At 36.8% G+C, this 22,510-nt stretch overlaps 2 protein-coding genes across 8 annotated transcripts in view; one reads left to right on the top strand and one right to left on the bottom strand.

Annotated features, from left to right (window-relative positions):
- PHIP (PHIP subunit of CUL4-Ring ligase complex) overlaps nt 1–8,119 on the top strand; it is a 143,836-nt gene extending 135,717 nt beyond the window's left edge. For all 3 annotated transcript variants that reach the window (XM_005248729.6, NM_017934.7, XM_011535918.4), the window contains one exon: nt 1,208–8,119. In XM_005248729.6, the coding sequence (XP_005248786.1) occupies nt 1,208–1,845 (638 nt within the window). In that variant the 3' untranslated portion in view covers nt 1,846–8,119. The remainder of the gene's footprint in view (nt 1–1,207) is intronic.
- The window catches only part of IRAK1BP1 (interleukin 1 receptor associated kinase 1 binding protein 1), a 111,861-nt gene that overhangs the window by 36,874 nt on the left and 52,477 nt on the right, over nt 1–22,510 (bottom strand). For 4 of the 5 annotated variants that reach the window (XR_942279.3, XM_006715336.4, XM_011535448.3 and 1 more), the window contains one exon: nt 6,633–7,077. Coding sequence is in view for 1 of the 5 variants with exons in the window: in XM_047418194.1 (XP_047274150.1) it covers nt 7,006–7,077 (72 nt within the window). In the remaining 4 variants the exon portion in view is untranslated. Of the gene's footprint in view, nt 1–6,632; nt 7,078–22,510 lie in introns of those variants that run through there. The other variant, XM_047418194.1, reaches the window with a different exon arrangement.

The following is a 22,510-nucleotide window of genomic DNA, read 5'->3' as shown; positions in this document are numbered from 1 at the left end:
GACCTTTGGTAAGTCTCTTAACCATGTTGTTTTGTTTTGTTTTGTTTTGTTTTTGAGATGGAGTCTCCCTCTTGTCGCCCAGGCTGGAGTGCAGTGGCGTGATCTCAGCTCACTGCAACCTCCGCCTCCTGGGTTCAAAGGATTCTCCTGCCTCAGCCCCCTGAGTAGCTGGGATTACAGGCACCCACCACCACGCCCAGCTACTTTTTGTACTTTTAGTAGAGACGGGGTTTCGCCATGTTGGCCAGGCTGGTCTCGAACTCCTGACCTCAGGTGATCCGCCCACTTTGGCCTCCCAGAGTGCTGGGATTATAATCGTGAGCCACTGCACCCGACCAACCATGATTTTCTTATTTACAAAGTACAGTTCCAACCTGTGACCAAAAATGCTGTTATGAAGATGTATTCTCTTTAAAAGCAGTTTCCATCTATGAATTTCCTCAAAAATAGAGCATTGCAAATCACCTACCATATCAAATAAAAACATGTCAGAAATTTGGAGGGAAAGAGAGTTAGTTACTGGTAGTTCCTGTGGCATATTTTTCCTTTATCTAAGTTATAGCATTTTTTTCTACAACAGAAAGGTAATTCATCATCTCCAGATCCTTCAGGTTTAGAATTTGATTGCCAGATTTTCTCTCCTGTTTTATGAAGCATAATGGCCTTTTATCATGGAGTTTGTTACAGTGGGATCTTAATCATGATAATGGTGGCACACATAGTGATTTTGATTGATATATATATATAATCAGTATTTCCTAGGATTATAGTCATTTGCCATTTATTACACAAGGAGATAGGACTTTTCAAAGCCTGTGAAAACTGCCATTTAGTTGTTTTTAAATCCTCTTTAAACAGTTCTAAGAACAAAGTTTTTGACCAAGAGTAACTTATTTCTAAGTTAGGAATAAGAAACCTTTAGTCATCCCAGCTTTATACTCAATCACAATGTTAACTTAGATAAGTCACTTATTTTCTATGAGCTTTACCTCCCTCATGAGATCGTTAAGAATCTGTCTCTTTTAATTAGAAAATAAATAAGATCATTGAACTATTAGTGTTTTCTAGGTTCTTTTTTCTCATTTTAATAAAATAATTTGGATTATGTCATTACATATAAGTATACCAATGGGGCCTTACTGACAAGTTTGAGAGTCAAACAAAAAAAGAAACTCCATATATTAAGTGTACTGTTGTTCCCTTTTAGGAGATTGTAAGAACAACGCTCTTGTACCAGGAACCATTCAAGTAAATGGCCATGGAGGACAGCCATCAAAACTTGTGAAGAGGGGACCTGGAAGGAAACCTAAAGTAGAAGTTAATACCAATAGTGGTGAAATTATACACAAGAAAAGGGGTAGAAAGCCCAAAAAGCTACAGTATGCAAAGCCAGAAGATTTAGAGCAAAATAATGTGCATCCCATCAGAGATGAAGTACTTCCTTCTTCAACATGCAATTTTCTTTCTGAAACTAATAATGTAAAGGAAGATTTGTTACAGAAAAAGAATCGTGGAGGTAGGAAGCCCAAAAGGAAGATGAAGACACAAAAATTAGATGCAGATCTCCTAGTCCCTGCAAGTGTCAAAGTGTTAAGGAGAAGTAACCGAAAAAAGATAGATGATCCTATAGATGAGGAAGAAGAGTTTGAAGAACTCAAAGGCTCTGAACCCCACATGAGAACTAGAAATCAAGGTCGAAGGACAGCTTTCTATAATGAGGATGACTCTGAAGAGGAGCAAAGGCAGCTGTTGTTCGAAGACACCTCTTTAACTTTTGGAACTTCTAGTAGAGGACGAGTCCGAAAGTTGACTGAAAAAGCAAAAGCTAATTTAATTGGTTGGTAACTTGTACCAAAATATTTTACTTCAAAATCTATAAAGCAGGTACAGTTAAGGAATAAGTAGAACTAAGGCTTCTGCTTCCTTGCTGCTGTGGTGGAGTAGGGAATGTTATGATTTGATTTGCAAAAAAAAAAAAAAAAAAAAAAACAAACTTACGAGACACTTCACTTCTTTAAATGAATATATATATATATATATAAATATATACATATATATTTTAAATGTTTGCTATTTATTGCCCTTAGATAGGTTATGCATTTTCACATTCATTTCATTCACTGTTTGAAACGAAAGAAATTGATCTATAATGAATTCCTGATTTATTTATAGAAAAGACAATTCTGCTACACTCTTTAGGAGCATAATATTCCTAGTGATAGAGCATTTCATGTTAAAATGAATTATTTTTGACCAAGTGAGGTACATTTCTATTGATACAAGTCATGCCCCTAAAAGATAGATGTTATACAGAGTAGCAGTGAATTAAGAAATGTTTCCTCTAAAAGATAAATATAAAATTTCCACCATTTGATACCCTAAACAGTTTAATTTTAATTATAGAATGTTCATCTACAAAGTATCTAGAGGAGGCTTTTGCTTTATTCCATTTCTGCCAAACAAGAGAAAATGTACTGATGAAGGGAAACATATCCACATTGGAAAACATTTGACTGTCTAATTTTTCAGACCTTGATTCTTATATCACTCAATCTCTGTTTATTGTGCCAAAGACTGAGAATCAGTGCAGTGGAAAGCCTGTTTTTGACGTCAGGACAGCATACACTTTTCAATATTGGAAAGGCTATATATTCTAAAGAGCAAGTTATTAAAGAGTTATGCTGAGATATATCTTTTTTTGGTACTAATAGAAAATAATGCACTGGTGGGTCCTTTGACAGAGATGTTCTAGAGGAAATGTTTAAGTGGTTAAAGGATTCAAGGAAAATACAGGAAAAAAGGTATGGGATTTGATGTTTACTTGTTGATCTGGATTAATGTCATTTCTAAACTTTAGACATATCTAATAGCCTAAAATGACTTACAAAGAAACGTGTCTGTGTGTGTATGTGTATATATTGATAAATGGGTATAATTAAATATATATACAAACACATACTTATATACTATTACCCAGGTATAAATTCTTTTTTCAGGATTTTTTAGATAGCAGTAGAATAAAAATAATTTTAAAATGTCATACTTTATAGTTTAATTTTAAGGGGGAAATTGGTTATTTTCAATTATTAAAGGTTAAAATAGGCCAAATCACTTTTTATGCAATCATGTTTTATACAGTGGTCTCATTGCACATTGTGTTTTTTCTGCACTTTTTACGGTATCCTTATCATGCTGGTATGTCAATATACACCCTAAAGAAAAACTCCATTTAATGATTGTGCCTTGTATTCTATTATTTTTTGCATCATTAGTAAAATTAAGTTGTCTATTGTAAATGATAACTATATGACTTAGGAGAATGTATTGCTATATGTACTGCTATGGAAAAGGAAAGCAGTTATTTATTTGTTTATGGTACAGTTAGTTATTTTATACCTTAAAAACCAACATACTTACCATTTCTATTGTTTAAAAATTACTGTCCATTTTTTTAAAAATTTAAAGAATGTAGTATTTTCTGAGGACTGGTATGGTACAAAAATGTAATCAAAATTTTCAGATACTACATTTTTAAAAAGTGAGGATGGGGAAAATATGTATCAGCATGACCCTGATGTAGAAAAATAAAGTCTGCAATTGAACCTTGGCAAAATACATTACATAATTATTTCTGATAAGGATAAATATTAGCTGTCATTTAACTGTCGTGAAGAATGAAAAAGTGATACATTTGGGCTTTTTAGATCATTTGTAACTAAATTTGTACAGAAATTCTCCTGTGAAATTAAGTAAACCATTTTCCAGATCTTGACTGCATTGCTGAGATTTTGCAGTTGAAAAATAATTTCAAATTTTTCAGGTTTTTTGTATATTTATTTTTTTCTAACAAATATATTTAACTATAAAATTAAAATTCAGTAGTTAAACTCTTCATAATGCAGAAATGGATGGCTTGATTGTATAGAAAAATGAGTCTTTCAGTTACACCATTCTTGAAAATAATAGTGTATGTTTGAAATTTGTCATTAATTAGTTGCTTTTGAAGGCAATCTATTTGAAATATGTAATTTCCTGATGTTATCTGCATTGTGTTAAGAAAAAAATAATAGGCTATAAAATCAATTTTTGTAAAAAAAATGTACAGTTTTAAGTTGTGTACAGAAAAAGGAAGAGCGTACACAGTCTTAGAGTGGAATATACCTCTAGTACAGTGTATGTGTTAATTCCAACTCAAGCAAAGAAATGAGTATTTACCATCTTTCCTATAACATGTAAATGTATTATTCCTGTTCTACAGACACTGTATATTTATGACCTTATTTGGACATTATTAGACACTGGTTTCTTAGTAAAGCACAGTAACTTGGATCAGATTCTTTGTAACCGAAACACTTAAACATGTATTAGTAATACCAATATATTTAGATTTTATATTTTTATAATTTAGCTTCTATGCATTACAGAAGTTGAATTAAGAAATTTAAGTCATCACCATATTTTTGTTTTCTTTACCACTTGGGAAAATAATCCTCTTTGAGGCAGTAACACTATGTATGTACTGTTAATAGGCCAGAAAGAAATATTGGCAGTTGTCTTAGGTAAGCAATAAAAACATCTCCAATTTACTGAAAGTTCAGAAATATAACTCTTACATGCATGGAAAGTGTAAACCAATTTAGGTATTTCTAAGTACCCAACCCTAGTATTCTCTCCCTCAACTCCAACATTCTCAAGTCCCAGATGAAAAGTTTCAGTGGAGCATTAGTTTAAATATTTAGTCTAATCAGAGACTCACAGCCCTGGGCAATAGATACATAGCTTTTTAAAATTTTATCCTTTGTGACCTGCTATAGTGGCATTGGACTATTTTCTGCATGTATTATAAACTAAAGATTGGCCTTATTTCAATTGTTTTTATTGCACAACTTCACTACAAATTTAAAGACTGCTGGCATTATTATAAAACTGTCTTCCTCCAATCCAAGTAAATAAGTATGTGGAATATTTGTGAGCTGGATTAGGTAACATCTGAGACTTGGGATTGACTAAATTTAGTTATCACTTGGAAATGAATTACATAAGATACAGTAATCAGAGAAAATATCTTTATGCAGCATGTATGTTAACATCTAGAACTGTCCCTCATCTGCAGTGCAGTAGAGGAATCAGACATTTTAAGAAATGTATTCAAATATTTTTATCTTATATGTTAGCAGCATTTACATGTTTTCAGATATGATTTGTAATATAAATTAATTTCTCCAGTTAACAATGTTTACTTCAATTCTGACATTCCATTTTATACATATATACCTACTGTATATCTCTCTCAAATGTCAGCTAGAAGCAACTTTTTCAGTTTTCTATCTAATGAAAACGGATATATTCTGAATGTTTTTGTTACCTGAAATTTATTTTTGAGTAGGTTGAAAGGACCAAGATACTTGAGTGATTAAAGGACTGTAAGTGTTCTGCTTATATGCAGGAGTTACATGATTTTAAAAGTCATAATAGGGGAAGTAGTTTTATCATCTGATTACTCCTATTAACCTAAAAAGTATTTCTAACATAACAGATTGAGCAGTGGTTTTGTTACACTTAGGCAAGAATTTATTTTCCCATTAAAATTTGAAAAATACACTTTTCTTTGCTTCTACCCTTGCAGTTTCCCTTAGTTCCCCTAATTTCCAAGTGATCTGAACTAAAATTAATATTACATTTACTAAGAAACTATTTTTGTTAATTATACTGAGCAAAGTTTGCTCCAAATGAAAAGTCATTACGAACTATGTATAGTACCCAAGAAAAGGTCAAATTGAGTCAGAAGACTGTAAGTACCACTTTTGGCGCTCCAGAGATAAACCTTGTACACACTGCAGTAGAACAGTGAGTAGAAAATATGAGCTATAAATAGATATTATTTTTAGTTTTGATAGCTCTGTGTTGAAATACTTTTTTAATGCAGATAAAAATTATCAGGAAATTAACCTTATGGCACAGACCAAATACTTAGTGCATGGCTGAGTTTCTACAATTCAAGGAGCCAAGAAAATAGGTTCAAGATGGAATATAGTACATGCATATAAGGCAGATGCACACATGCTGGTTACTTTAAGATTGTGTGTGTTGATTAGTCACAATGATAGACTATAACATGAGACAATACAAAGTTACATTTTTGGACCATATTAAAACTGCAAGAAGACAGGGGTCTTACTGAAGATCTTTTAGAAAACTTAAATCCTGTCACAGGATATTTAGACATGTGTAGAATGTAGCTCAATTTTTAAAAAGTAACTGACCTAGAGGGTGAAAGTTGAAACTGACACATTTTCAAATTAAGATTATGCTTATTTTGTACAGAAAACAATGTTTAAACACAAGCAGATCTGTTGTATGTAATAAGTAACACAGAGTTTTAAAACAAATTAATTATTTAGCTTTATTGAAGTTTGTTTTTTTCCTTCCGAACCTGGAGTATCATATTATAAACAGCAGTTTCACACCAGAATAGCAGTGCCCTTTCTTTTTGTACATACTGATTGGACCTTTCTTTACTGTTACGTGGACACTTTCTATGTTAGTTTTGATGCATAATTCTTTGAATCCTTTTATACAAACTAGAATGTATGTGTAAGAATACCTGTCCCTGCAATGTAGTAACTACAAACTTATTTTTAAATAAATAGAAAACTTGTTTTTCTAAGCTATTTTGTAGAGCCTCATGATTTATTATTTGCTTTTTAAAGTTTTTTGGCATCACATAAAGCACTTAGTACATAATCTCAACAAGCTGCTTACCAAAGTGGTCATATGGCAGATACCATTATGTAAATGCTGGTTCATTAGAGTTTCCAGTGCCCTGTGTGTTTTGCAAAGTGTGAAAACTGTCAGTTAAAAGATATTTGGGTGCCGAAATGTAATTTAATTCCAAAACAACTGAAGGTCAAAAACTTATATGCCTTTTTATGTGTACATTTAATAAAACAATTTTATTGATTTCTTACCGTAAGTTACTGTGATGAGTGATAAATACTTCACTATTCAGATACTTTCGTAAGAGATACATTTCAGTGGAACACTTTGCATAAATATTTTCTCAAAAATGTGCAATTTCTGGGAAAAAAGGAATGATGGAAAGAAGGTTATTGCAGTTTTCCTAGAAATTTTGTCAGATTGGCATGCATTTTTATTGACTAAGAATCCCAATTTTAGCATGAAGACCATTAGATATGAATACATAAGGCCATAACATTTCAAATTAAGCACATGGAGTGATTTGTAATTTTGTGTTAATTTCTCCCTAAGATGTTTTGTTAAAATGATTTTGTATATAATAAATTTCTAAGTTGAGGAAGGAAGGTAAAAAAAATTCCTGATAACCTTTTCTTTATGAAGTCTGCTAATAACAATACCTAGTATATACTTAGAAGAACCAGCCAAGAAAAATTACCTTTCAGCAACCACTCTTTACTTATTTCTCTTTTGTAATAATACCAATTTTATGACCCAGGATTCCCCAGTATTTAACGGAAGTAAGATTAAAGACCAAAGCACAAAACCTCTGTTCCTTGCAATATAGTACTTCGTGTTTGTAATCAATGTGTGGTAAATTTAACACATTTACCACTTACTGATTAGTCTTTGGGAAAAGAATGGTGGAAGTCATTCAATGAAATACCTTTCTACCTAATTGGTTAGACATACTGGCAGCACAGTGTAATGAACTGGCCTGGAGTTGGGAAATGGGAATTTGACCTTCATTCCTGACAGGAAGTAGAGGAACCCCAGCAAAGTCGTATCTCAGAGCTTCATTTTCCTCATCTGTAAAGTTTTAAAGGTTGATTAAATTATCTGTGAGGTCTAATTCTGTTCAAATAGCCAGTGGTGATAATCTCATTTGTATACTGTCCTCTGTATTCATGGCTCAACTTTGGCTTTTATATTTAGTCCCTAAATAGAATACATCATTTAATGTGTAGCTTCCAGACAAGCTGTGTCTTGCGGCCATGACCTGATTGTTGTTAAGTGTGAGGTTTTCTGAACCCTTAGCAGAAGGACTTTTAATGTTTTTACAACACACTATTGTATTGCTATAAATTGTGAATTGCTTTAAAAGTACATGTTTACTAATAAAAAGAAGTACAGGCACACTTTATTTTATTGTGCTTTGCATTATTGCACTTTGCAGATAACTGGTAACCATGCATCCAGCAAGGCTGTCAGTACCATTTTTCCAACAGCAGGTGATAACTTCATGTGTCACATTTTGGTAATTGCGATATTTCCAACTTTTAAAATCTCATTCTATCTGTCCATGGTGATCTGTGATCAGTAGTCATTTATGTTACCACTGTAATTGTTTTGAGGTGCCACAAACCACACCCATATAAGATAGTTAATACATGTTCTGTGTGTTCTGACTGTTCCAATAAATGGCCATTCCCCCCTCTCCCTCTTTTTGAGACTTCTATTCCCTCAGACACACCAATATTGAAATTAAACCAATTAGTTACCCTACCGTGGCCTCTAAATGTTCAAGTGAATAGAAGAGTCTCAAGTCTCTCACTTTCATCAAAAGCTAGCTATGATTAAGCTTAGTGAAAAAGGCATGTCAAAAGCCAAGAGAGGCTGAAAGCTGAAACTATTGTGCCAAGCAGCCAAGTTGTGTAAGCAAAGGAAAAGTCATTGAAGGAAGTTAAGGATGCTACTTCAGTGAACATATGAATGATAAGAAAGCAAGCAACCTTATGGCTGATAAGGAGAAAGGTGCAGTGGTCTGGATAGAAGATCAAATCAGCCACAATATTCCCTGAAGCCAAAACCTAATCCAGAGAAGGGCATTAAAGCTCTTCAATTCTGTAAAGGTGAGAGAGGCAAGAAAGCTGCCAAAAAAAAAAAAAAAAAAGTTGGAAGCTAGCAGAGGTTGGTTCATGATGGTTTTGGTTTTTGTTTTTGTTTGAGACAGAGTTTTGCTCTTGTTGCCCAGGCTGGAGTGCAAAAGTGCGATCTCAGCTCACTGAAACCTCCACCTCCTGGGTTCAAGCGATTCTCCTGCCTCAGCCTCCTGCATATCTGGGATTACAGGCGCCTGCCACCATGCCTGGCTAATTGTTGTATTTTAAGAAGAGAAGGGGTTCACCATGGTGGCCAGGCTGGTCTCAAACTCCTGACCTCGTGATCCGCCCGCCTCAGCCTCCCAAAGTGTTGGGATTACAGGCGTGAGCCATCGCGTCCGGCCTGGTTCATGATGTTTAAGGAAAGAAGCCATCTCTAATAAAAGTGCAAGGGGGTGCTGATGAAGAAGCAAGTTATCCAGATGATTTAGCTAATATCATTGATGAAAATCTATACAAATTTTCAACGCAGATGAAACATCCTTATATTGGTAGAAGGACCAATCTAGGACTTTCATAGCTAGAGAGAAGTCAATGCCTAGCTTCAAAGGACAGGCTCTCATTGGGGGCTAATGCAGCTGGTGTTAAGATGAAGCCAGTGCTTCTTTACCATTCCAAAAATTCTAGGGCCCTTAAGAATTATATTAAATCTACCCTACCATGCTCTGTCAATGGAACAACAAAGCCTGCATGACAGCCCATCTGTTTATAGCATGGTTTACTGAATATTTTAAGTCCATTGTTAAGACCTGCTTTCCAGAAAAAAAATAAAAAAATAAAAAAGATACCTTTGAAAACACTACTGCTCATTGACAACCTGGTCACCCAAGAACTCTGATGGCAATGTACAAGGTGATTAGTGTTGCTTTCATGCCTGCTAACACAACATCCGTTCTGCACCTCACAGATCAAGGAGTAATTTTGATTTTCAAGTCTTGTTATTTAAGAAATACATGTTGTAGGCCAAGCACAGTGGCTCACGCCTGTAATCCCAGCACTTTAGGAGTCCAAGGTGGGTGGATCACCTGAGGTCAGGAGTTCAAGACCAGCCTGGCCAACGTGGTGAAACCCCGTCTCTACTAAAAATACAAAAATTAGCCAGGCTTGGTGTGTGCCTGTAATCCCAGCTACTCAGGAGGCTGAGGCAGGAGAATTGCTTGAACCTGGGAGGTGGAGGTTGCAGTGAGCCAAGAGTGCACCATTGCACTCCAGCCTGGGCAACAACAGCGAAACTCCATCTCAAAAAAAAAAAAAAAAAGAAAAAGAAAGAAAAGAAATACATGTTGTAAGGCTATAGCTTTCAGAGATTCCTCTGAGGAATCTGGTCAAAGTACATTGAAAACCTGGAAAGAATTCACCATTCTAGATGCCATTAAGAACGTTCGTGATTCATTGGAGATCAAAATATCAACTTTAACCGAAATTTGGAGGAAGTTGATTCCAACCCTCATGGATGATTCTGAGGGTTCAAGAATTCAGTGGAGGAAGTCACTGCAGACATGGAAATAGCTCGAGAACTAGAATTGGAAAGTGGAGCCTAAAGATGTGACTGAATTGCTGCAATCTCATGATAAAATTTGAATGGCTAAGGAGTTGCTTCTTATGGATGAGCGAAGTTTCTTGGGATTAAATCTACTTTTGGTGAAGATGCTGTGAACATTGTTGAAATGACAACAAAGAATTTAAATACTACATAAACTTAGTTAATAAAGCAGAAGCTGTTTGAGAGGATTGACTCCAATTTCGAAAGTTCTACTGTGGGTAAAATGCAATCAAACAGCATTGCATGCTACAAAGAAATCTTTTGCGAAAGGAAGAGTCCAATGGATGCAGCATACTTCAGTGTTATCTTAAGAAATTGACACAGCCACCCCAACCACCACCCTGATCAGTCAGCAGGCATCAACATTGGAGCGAGACCCTCCACCAGAAAAAGATTCTGACTTTCTGAAAGCTCAGATGATCATTAGCATTTTCTAGCAATAAAGTATTTTTAAACTAAAATATGTACATTGTTTTTAAGACACAATTCTGTTGCACATGTAACAGACTAACAGTATGGTACAAACATAATTTTATATGCACCAGGAAACAAAAAGTTTGTGTGACTCGCTTTATTGCAATATTTGTTATATTTTGGTGGTCCGGAACCAGACTCACAATATCTCCACGGTATACCTGTACTAAAGTTTGTGATTTTCCAGGAACCTATGAGAAATCTCCAAGATAATTTTAGTGTAAAATACCCTACTTCTTTTTCTTGTTTTTTGAGACAGGGTCTCTCTCTTGCCCAGACTGGAGTGCAGTGGCACAAATCGTAGCTCACTGCAACCTTGAACCCCTGGGCTCAAGCAATCCTCCTGCCTTAGCCTCATGAGTAGCTTCGACTACAGGTAGACACCACCTCACCAGGCATTTATTGATTGATGGATTGATTGATTGTAGAGACAGGAATTTCACTGTGTTTCCCATGCTGGTCTCAAACTCCTGGGCTAAAGTAATCCTCTTACTTTGGCCTTCCAATGTGCTAAGATTACATGCATGAACCACTAAGCCCAGCCCATCCTGAAATTTTTATCTCATTTTTTCTAAATTTAAGATCCAATTCAGTGGTAAAACAGAATCAGTGGCTTTCAGAGATAAATTAATCATTCGATTAAGATAGGATGTTGCATACCTGAGAATAATAGTTGGTTTTCTGGTTAATTTTTTTTTATTTTATTTTTATTTTTTATTTTTATTTATGTTTTTGACAGAGTCTCACTCTGTTGCCCAGGCTGGAGTGCAGTGGTGCGATCTCGGCTCACTGCCACTTCCACCTACCGGGTTCAAGTGATTCTCCTGCCTCAGCCTCCCAAGAACTGGGACTACAAGCGCTCACCACCTCAACCACCTAATTTTTGTATTTTCAGTAGAGACAAGGTTTCACCATGTTGGCCAGGTTGGTCTCAAACTCCTGACCTCAGGTGATCCGCCCGCCTCGGCCTCTCAAAGTGTGCTGGGATTATAGGTGTGAGCCACGGTGCCCAGCCACACAGTTGTATTTCTCTGTTTCTCTGTATTTCACTATTGTTCTTAGTTTAGTGTCAGCTACCTATATTAATCAAAAATTTTAATGAAAATAACAAGTTTCACAGAGAAAACTGAAAGGATGGTAATTTAAAACTATAATATGCAAGTATTTTTGTAGAACAGCAAATCTCATTAATATATATAGCAAAATTTTTAAACCTTGAATTTGCAAAAATGAACACTTTTATTAAAAATATGACTTGAAGACAGCAACTCCATAGTGTACAAATATAAGAAACAACTGTATATATACTTAAAATTATTCATAGCAGTATTTCAGTGTTGCTTATAACTGAAATATACTCAATTTTAAGATACCTGAGGATCTTTGAAATTATGTTCAAGCTGACATGCTATAGAACAATTACTGTTATAAAAAACTTTGTCAAGGCTGGGCATGGTGGTGCACAACTGTAATCTCAGCACTCTGGGAGGCCAAGAACTCTGAGCCCAAGAGTTCAAGACCAACCTGGGCATTATGGTGAAACCCTGTCTCTACAAAAAATTAGCTGGGCATGGTGGTACATGCCTCTAGTCCCAACCACTCGGAGGCTCACATAGGAGGAATGCTTGAGCCCAGGAGGTTGAGGCTGCAGTGAGCTGAGATAGTGCCACTGCACTCCAGCCTGAGTGACAGAGGGAGAGCCTGTCTCAAAAAACGAAAACAAAAAAAAACTGTGTCAGAATTATGATTCAATTTATTTGAACATGTGTTTTATGTTTTTAGCTACTCCAAATATTATGTAAAAGTAATATTAGCTTATATGTTCAGTGGACCAATATAAGAAGTTTAGGTACTCCAGACTAACTTGTCTCTTCTTGAGAAAGCAAACCCAATGTTCACTTAACAAATTAAATGTATGCTTATATTATATTCCACACTTATACAGGAAAAAAAGCCATTTTAAAAATATAATTTCAATTTTTATTTTAGATTCAGAGGGTACATGAGCAAGTTTGTTACCCAGGTATACTGCGGAGGTTTGGGATACAATTGATCCTATAATCCAGGTACCAAGCATAGTACCCATAGTTTTTCAATGCTTGTCCCCCTCCTTCCTTCCCCCATCTACTAGTCTTCAGTGTCTATTGTTTCCATCTTTATATCCATGAGTAACCAATGTTTAGCTCCTACTTATAAGTGAGAACATGTGGTACGTGGCTTTTCTGTTTCTGCATTAATTCACTTAGGACAGTGGCCTTGGGGTGCATCCATGTTGCTGCAAATGACATGACTTCATTTCTTATGGCTGCTTAGTATTCCATGTTATGTATGTACCACATTTTATTTATCCAACCCACCTTTGATGGGCACCTAGGTTTATTCCATATCTTGGCTATGGTTAATAGTGCTGTGATGTACAACCTGCCAAGATTGATCATTAAGAAATCCAAAACTTCAACAGACCAATAACAAGTAATGAGATCAAAGCCATAATGAAAAGTCTCCCAGTAAAAAAAAGCCTGACACCTGATGGCTTCACTGATGAATTCTACCAAACATTTAAAGAAGAACTAACACCAATCATACTGAAACTATTCCAAAAAATACAGGAGGAGGGAATACTTCTAACCTCATACTATGAGGCCAGTATTCCCCTAATACCAAAACCAGACAAAAACACATCAAAAACAAGAAAACTGCAGGTCAATTTCTCTGATGAATATTGATGCAAAAATCCTCAACGAATACTTGCAAATTGAATTCAACAATAAGTGAAAAAGATCATTCATTATGACCAAGTGGAATTTGTCCCTGGGATGGAAGGATAGGTCAACATATACAAATCAATCAGTATAATACAGGACAGAATAACAAACAAAAACCATATGATCATTTCAATTGATGCCGAAAAAGCATTTGATGAAATTCAACATCCCTTCATGATAAAAATGCTCAAGAAACTGGACATAGAAGGGACATATCTCAACATAATAAAAGCCATATATTAGAGACCCACAGCTAGTATCATACTGAGTGGGGAAAAACTGAAAACCTTTCCTTAAAGATCTGGAATACAACAAGGACACTGTCACCATTGCTATTCAACATAGTACTGAAAGTCCTGGCTAGAGCAATCAGACAAGGAAAGGAAATAAAGGGCATCCAAATTGGAAAGGAATAAGTCAAATTATTCTTGTTTGCAGACGATATCATCTTATATTTGGAAAACCTGAAGACTCCACACACACACACAAAAACTATTAAAACTGATAAGCAAAGTCAGTAAAGTTGCAGGATACAAAATCAACATACAAAAATCAGTAGCATTTCTGTATGCCAACAGTGAACAATCCGAAAAAGAAGTCAAACAAATAATCCCATTTATAATAACCACAAATAAAATTAAATACCTAGGAATTGACCAAAGAAGTGAAAGATCTCTATAATGAAAACTATAAAACACTGGTGAAAGATATTGAAAAGAACACAAAAAATGGAAAGATTCCATGTTCATAGATTAGAAGAATCAATATTGTTAAAATGTCCATACTACCCAAAGAATCTACAGATATCAAAATACCAATGACATTCCCCACAGAAACAGCAAAAACAATCCTAACATTTATATAACATCAGAAAAGACCCAGAATAGCCAAAACTATTGTAAGTAAAAGGAACAAAACTGGAGGAATCACATTATCTGACTCCAAATTATACTACAGAGCTATAGTGAGCAAAACAGCATGGTACTGGCATAAAAACAGACACACATAGACCAATGGAACAGAATATAGAACCCAGAAACAAATCCACACACGTACAGTGAACTCATTTTTGACAAACGTGCAAGGAACATACAGTTGGGAAAAGACAGTCTTTTCAGTAAATGGTGCCTGGAAAACTGGATATTCATATGCAGAAGAATGAAACTAGACCCCTATCTCTCACTGTATACAAAACTCAAATCAAAATGCATTAAAGACTTAAATCTAAGACCTCAAACTATGAAACTACTACAAGAAAACATGAGGGAAACTTTCCAGGACATTGTTCTGAACAAAAATTTCTTGAGTAACACACAACCACAGATAACCAAAGCAAAAATGGACAAATGGGATCACATCAAGTTAAAAAGCTACTGCACAGCAAAGGAAACAATCAGCAAAGTGAAGAGACAACCCACAGAATGGGAGAACATATTTGTAAACTACCCATCTGACAAGGGATTAATAACCAGGAGCTCAAACACCTTTATAGGAAAAACATCCAATAATCCGATTTAAAAATGGGCAAAAGATTTGAATAGACATTTCTCAGAAGACATACAAATGGCAAAAAGGCATATGAAAAGGTGCTCAATATCACTGGTCAACAGAGAAATGCAAATCAAAACTACGATGGGATATCATCTCACCCCAGTTAAAATGGCTTTTATCCAAAAGACAGGCAATAACAAATGTTGGCGAGGATGTGGAGAAAAGGAAATCACATACACTGTTGGTGGGAATGTAAATTAGTATAACCACTATGGAGAATAGTTTGGAGGTTCCTCAAAAAACTAAAAATTGAGCTACCATATGATCCAGCAATCCGACTGTTGGGTATACACCAAAAAAAAAAGGAAATCAGTATATCCAAGAGATACCTGAACTTCCATGTTTATTGTAGCACTGTTCACAGTAGCCAAGATTTGGAAGGAACCTAAGTGTCCATCAACAAATGAATGGATAACAAAATGTGGTACATATACACAATGGAGTACTATTTGGCCATACGAAAGAATAAGATCCTGCCATTTGCAACAACATAGATGGAACTGAGGTCATCATGTTAAGGGAAATAAGCCAGGCACAGAAAGACAAACATCATATGTTCTTACTCATTTGTCAGATCTAAAAATAAAAACAGCTGAATTCATGGAGATAGGGAGTAGAGGATGGTTGTCAGAGGCTGAGAAATGTAGTGGGAGGGTGTCGGGGAGGTGGGGATGGTTAAGGGGTACAAAAAAATTGAAACAATGAATAAGACCTAGTATTTGATAGCACAACAGGGTGACTATAGTCAATAATAATTTAATTGTATATTTTTAAATTCCTTAAAGTGTATACTTGGATAATTTGTGACACAAATGATAAATACTTAGGGAGATGGATACCCCATTTTACATGATGTGATTATTACACATTTCAAGTCTGTATCAAAACATCTCATATATCCCATAAATATACACACCTACCACGTACCCAGAAAAATTAAAATAAAAAATTTAAAACAAACAGTGCCGTGATGAAAATACAAGTGCATGTGTCTTTTAGTAGAATGATTTTCTTTTGGATATATACCCAGTAATGGGATTGCTGGATCAAATGGTAGATCTGTTTTAAGTTATTTGGAAAATCTCCAAACTGCTTTCCACAGTGGCTGAACTAATTTACATTCCTGCAAACGGTGTATAAGCATTCCCTTTTCTTTGCAGCCTCACCAGAATCTGTTGTTTTTTGACTTTTTAGTAATAGCCATTCTGACTGGTGTGAGATGTTATCTAATTGTGATTGTGATTTGCATTTCACTGATGATTACTAATATTGAGCATTTTTTGATCTTCACCCTCCTCCCACCCTCCATCCTTCAGTAGGTCCTACTGTCTATTATTCCTTCTTTGTGCCCATGTTTAATCAGTGCTTATTTTCCGCTTATAAGAACACACAGTATTTGGTTTTCTGTTCCTGTGTTAATTTGCTTAGGATAACGGTCTTGAGGTACATCCACGTTGCTGCAAAGGACATAATTTTGTTCTTTATTATGGCTGCATAGTATTCCATGGTGTATATGTACCATATTTTCTTTATCCACTCCACCAGTGATGGGCATCTAGGTTGATTCCATCTTTTTCCTATTATGAATACTGCTGTGATGAACATATATGTGCATATATCTTTATGACAGAATGATTTATATTCCATTGGGAATATACCTAGTGATGGGATTACTGAGTTGAATAGTAGTTCTGTTTTTAAATTCTTTGTGAACTCTCCAAATTGCTTTCCACAGGGGTTGAACTAATTTACATTCCTACCAGCAGCAGTGTATAAGTGTTTCCTTTTCTCTGCAGCCTTGTCAGAATCTGTTGTGTTTTGACTTTTTAACAGGAACTGTTCCACTGGTGTGAGATAGTATTTCATTGCGGTTTTGATTTGCATTCCTCTAATGATTGGTGATGTTGAGCATTTTTTCATATGCTTGTTGATCACGTGTATGTCTTTATTTGAGAAGTGTCCGTTCATGTCTTTTGTCATTTCTTGAATGAGACTTTTGGTTTTTTTGCTTGTGGATTTTTTTCTAATTATACTTTAAGTTTTAGGGTACATGTCCACAATGTGCAGGTTTGTTACATATGTATACATGTGCCATGTTGGTGTGCCGTACCCACTAACTCCGTCATTTAACATTAGGTATATCTCCCAGTGCTATCCCTCCCCCATACCCCCACCCCAAAACAGGCCCCGGTGTGTGATGTTCCCCTTCCTGTGTCCATGTGTTCTCATTGTTCAATTCCCACCTATGAGTGAGAACGTGCGTGTTTGGTTTTTTCTCCTTGCCATAGTTCACTGAGAATGATGGTGTTTCCAGCTTCATCCATGTCCCTACAAAGGACATGAACTCATCATTTTTTATGGCTGCATAGGATTTCATGGTGTATATGTGCCACATTTTCTTAATCCAATCTATCATTGTTGGACATTTGGGTTGGTTCCAAGTCTTTGCTATTGTGAATAGTGCCGCAATAAACATATGTGTGCATGTCTCTTTATAGCAACATGATTTATAATCCTTTGGGTATATACCCAGTAATGGTTGGTTCTGTTTATATGCTGGATTACATTTGTTGATTTGCATATATTGAACCAGCCTTGCATCCCAGGGATGAAGCCCACTTGATCATGGTGGATAAGCTTTTTGATGTGCTGCTGGATTCAGTTTGCCAGTATTTTATGAAGGATTTTTGCATCAATGTTCATCAGGGATATTGGTCTAAAATCCTCTCTTTTTTGTTGTGTCTCTGCCAGGCTTTGGTATCAGGATGATGCTGGCCTCATAAAATGAGTTAGGGAGGATTCCCTCTTTTTCTATTGATTGGAATAGTTTCAGAAGGAATGGTACCAGCTCCTCTTTGTACCTCTGATAGAATTCGGCTGTGAATCCATCTGGTCCTGGGCTTTTTTTGTTTGGTAGGCTATTAATTATTGCCTCAATTTCAGAGCCTGTTATTGCTCTATTCAGGGATTCAACTTCTTCCTGGTTTACTCTTGGCAGGGTGTATGTGTTGAGGAATTTATCCATCTCTTCTAGATTTTCTAGTTTATTTGCGTAGAGGTGTTTATAGTATTCTCTCATGGTAGTTTGTGTTTCTGTGGCATCAGTGGTGATATCCCCTTTATCATTTTTTATTGCATCTATTTGATACTTCTCTTTTCTTCTTTATTAGTCTTGCTAACGGTCTATCAATTTTGTTGATCTTTTCAAAAAACCAACTCCTGGATTCATTGATTTTTTGAAGGGTTTTTTGTGTCTCTATTTCCTTCAGTTCTGCTCTGATCTTAGTTATTTCTTGCCTTCTGCTAGCTTTTGAATGTGTTTGCTCTTGTTTCTCTAGTTCTTTTAATTGTAATGTTAGGGTGTCAATTTTAGATTTTTCCTGCTTTCTCTTGTGGGCATTTAGTGCTATAAATTTCCCTCTACACACTGCTTTGAATGTGCCCCAGAGATTCTGGTACGTTGTCTCTTTGTTCTCGTTGGTTTCAAAGAACATCTTTATTTCTGCCTTCATTTCGTTATGTACCCAGTAGTCACTCAGGAGCAGATTGTTCAGTTTCCATGTAGTTGAGTGGTTTTGAGTGAGTTTCTTAATCCTGAGTTCTAGTTTGATTGCACTGTGGTCTGAGACACAGTTTGTTATAATTTCTGTTCTTTTACATTTGCTGAGGAGTGCTTTACTTCCAACTATGTGGTCAATTTTGGAATAGGTGTGGTGTGGTGCTGAAAAGAATGTATATTCTGTTGATTTGAGGTGGAGAGTTCTGTAGATGTCTATTAGGTCTGCTTGGTGCAGAGCTGAGTTAAATTCCTGGATATCCATGTTAACTTTCTGTCTCATGATCTGTCTAATGTTGACAGTGGGGTGTTAAAGTCTCCCATTATTATTGTGTGGGAGTCAAAGTCTCTTTGTAGGTCTCTAAGGACTTGCTTTATCAATCTGGGTGCTCCTGTATTGGGTGCATATATATTTAGGTGAGTTAGCTCTTCTTGTTGAATTGATACCTTTACCATTATGTAAAGGCCTTGTCTCTTTGGATCTTTGTTGCTTTAAAGTCTGTTTTATCAGAATCTAGGATTGAAACCCCTGCCCTTTTTTTTTTCCATGTGCTTGGTAGATCTTCCTCCTTCTGTTTATTTTGAGCCTATGTGTGTCTCTGCACATGAGATGGGTTTCCTGAATACAGCACACTGATGGGTCTTGAGTCTTTATCCAATTTGCCAGTCTGTGCCTTTTAATTGGAGCATTTAGCCCATTTACATTTAAACTTAATATTGTTATGTGTGAATTTGATCCTGTCATTATGATGTTAGCTGGTTATTTTGCTCGTTAGTTGATGCATTTTCTTCCTAGCCTCGATGGTCTTTACAATTTGGCATGTTTTTGCAGTGGCTGGTACCGATTGTTCCTTTCCATGTTTAGTGCTTCCTTCAGGAGCTCTTGTAGGGCAGGCCTGGGGGTGACAAAATCTCTCAGCATTTGCTTGTCTGTAAAGGATTTTATTTCTCCTTCACTTCTGAAGCTTAGTTTGGTTGGATATGAAATTCTGGGTTGAAAATTCTTTTCTTTAAGAATGTTGAATATTGGCCCCCACTCTCTTCTGGCTTGTAGAGTTTCTGCCGAGAGATCAGCTGTTAGTCTGATGGGCTTCCCTTTGAAGGTAACCCGACCTTTCTCTCTGGCTGCCCTTAACATTTTTTCCTTCATTTCAACTTTGGTGAATCTGACAATTATGTGTCTTGGAGTTGCTCTTATCAAGGAGTACCTTTGTGGCACTCTCTGTATTTCCTGAATTTGAATGTTGGCCTGCCTTGCTAGATTGGGGAAGTTCTCCTGGATAATATCCTGCAAAGTGTTTTCCAACTTGGTTCCATTCTCCCCGTGACTTTCAGGTACACCAATCAGATGTAGATTTGGTCTTTTCACATAGTCCTATATTTTTGGAGGCTTTGTTCATTTCTTTTTACTCTTTTTTCTCTAAACTTCTCTTCTCTCTTCATTTCATTCATTTGATCTTCCATTACTGATACCCTTTCTTCCAGTTCATCGAATCAGCTACTGAGGCTTGTGCATTTGTCATGTAGTTCTCGTGCCATGGTTTTCAGCTCCATCAGGTCCTTTAAGGACTTCTCTGCATTGGTTATTCTAATTAGCCATTCATCTAATCTTTTTTCAAGACTTTTAACTTCTTTGCCATGGGTTCAAACTTCCTCCTTTAGCTCAGAGTAATTTGATCATCTGAAGCCTTCTTCTCTCACCTTGTCAAATTCATTCTCCATCCAGCTTTGTTCCATTGCTGATGAAGAGCTGTGTTCCTTTGGAGGAGGATAGCCTCTCTGATTTTTAGAATTTTCGGTTTTTCTGCTCTGTTTTTTCCCCATCTTTGTGGTTTTATCTACCTTTGGTGTTTGATGATGGTGATGTACAGATGGGGTTTTGATATGGATGTCCTTTCCGTTTGTTAGTTTTCCTTCGAACAGTCAGGACCCTCAGCTGCAGGTCTGTTGGAGTTTGCTGGAGGTCCACTCCAGACCCTGTTTTCCTGGGTATCAGTAGCAGAGGCTGCAGAACAGCAGATATTGGTGAATAGCCAATGTTGCTGCCTGATCGTTCCTCTGGAAGTTTTGTCTCAGAGGAGTACCTGCCCGTGTGAGGTGTCAGTCTGCCCCTACTGGGGGATGCCTCCCAGTTAGGCCACTCGTGGGTCAGGGACCCACTTGAGGAGGCAGTCTGTCCCTTCTCAGATCTCCAGCTGTGTGCTGGGAGAACCACTACTCTCTTCAAAGGTGTCAGACAGGGACATTTAAGTCTGCAGAGGTTTCTGCTGCCTTTTGTTTGGCTATGCCCTGCCCCTAGAGGTGGAGTCTACAGAGGCAGGCAGGCCTCCTTGAGCTGCCGTGGGCTCCACCCAGTTCGAGCTTCCCGGTTGCTTTGTTTACCTATTGAAGCCTTGGCAATGATGGGCGCCCCTCCCCCAGCCTTGCCGCGGCCTTGCTGTTTGATCTCAGACTGCTTTGCTAGCAATGAGTGAGGCTTCATGAGCATTGGAGCCTCCAAGCCAGGGGTGGGATACAATCACCTGGTGTGCCGTTTGCGAAGATCGTTGGAAAAGTGCAGTATTAGGGTGGGAGTTACCCGATTTTCTAGTTGCCATCTGTCACCCCTTTCCTTGGCTAGGAAAGGGAATTCCCTGACCCCTTGCACTTCCTGGGTGAGGCAATGCCTCGCCCTGCTCGGCTCATGTTCAGTGCACTGCACCCTCTGTCCTGCACCCACTGGATGACAATCCCCAGTGAGATGAACCTGGTACCTCAGTTGGAAATGCAGAAATCATTCATCTTCTGTGTCACTCACACTAGGAGCTGTAGACCGGAGCTGTTCCTATTTGGCTATCTTGGCTTCACTTGCTTGTGGATTTGTTTAGGTTCCTTATAGATTCTACATACTAGAACTTTTTCAGATGCATAGTTTGCAAATATTTTCTCCCATTCTGTAGGTTGTTTACTCTGTTGATATATATATATATTTGCTATGCACAAGCTCTTTAGTTTAATTAAGTCCCACTTGTCAATTTTTGTTTTTGTTTCAATTGCTTTTGGAGTCTTTGTCATGAAATCTTTAACAGGGCCCATCTCAAGAATGGTATTTCCTCAGTTTCCTTCTAGTGTTTTTACAGTTTTAGGTTTTACATTTATGTCTTCAAATCCATCTTGAGTTGCTTTTTGTATATGGTGAAAGGAATGAGCCTGGTTTCAACCTTCTGCATGTGGATAGCCAGTTATCATAGCACCATTTATTAAGTAAGGAATCCTTTCACCATTGCTTGTTATTTTCATCTTTGTCAAAGAGCAGCTACAGATGACTGTAGGTGTGTGGCATTATTTCTGGGTTCTCTATTCTGTTGCATTGGTCCATGTGTCTGTTTTTGTACCAGTACCATCCTATTTTGGTTACTGTAGCCTTGTTTGAAGTCAGGTAATGTGATTCCTTTGGGTTTTTTCTTTTTGCTTAGGATTGCTTTGGTTATTTGGGCTCTTTTTTGGTTCCATATGAGTTTAGAATAGTTTTTTTCAAATTTTGTAAAATTTTTTATTTGAGATGGAGTCTTGCTCTGTTGCCAGGCTGGAGTGCAGTGGCACAATCTTGGCTGACTGCAATCTTTGCCTCCCAGGTTCAAGCCATTCTCCTACCTCAGCCTCCTGAGTAGCTGGGATTACAGGCATGCACAATCACACCCAGCTAATTTTTGTATTTTTAGTAGAGACAGGGTTTCACCATGTTGGCCAGGATGGTCTCGATTTCCTGACCTCGTGATCCACC

Source organism: Homo sapiens, chromosome 6 (assembly GCF_000001405.40).
Source record: "Homo sapiens chromosome 6, GRCh38.p14 Primary Assembly".
In the NCBI taxonomy this organism is placed as follows: Eukaryota; Metazoa; Chordata; class Mammalia; order Primates; family Hominidae; genus Homo; species Homo sapiens.
This window is presented reverse-complemented; position numbering and strand designations above follow the sequence as displayed.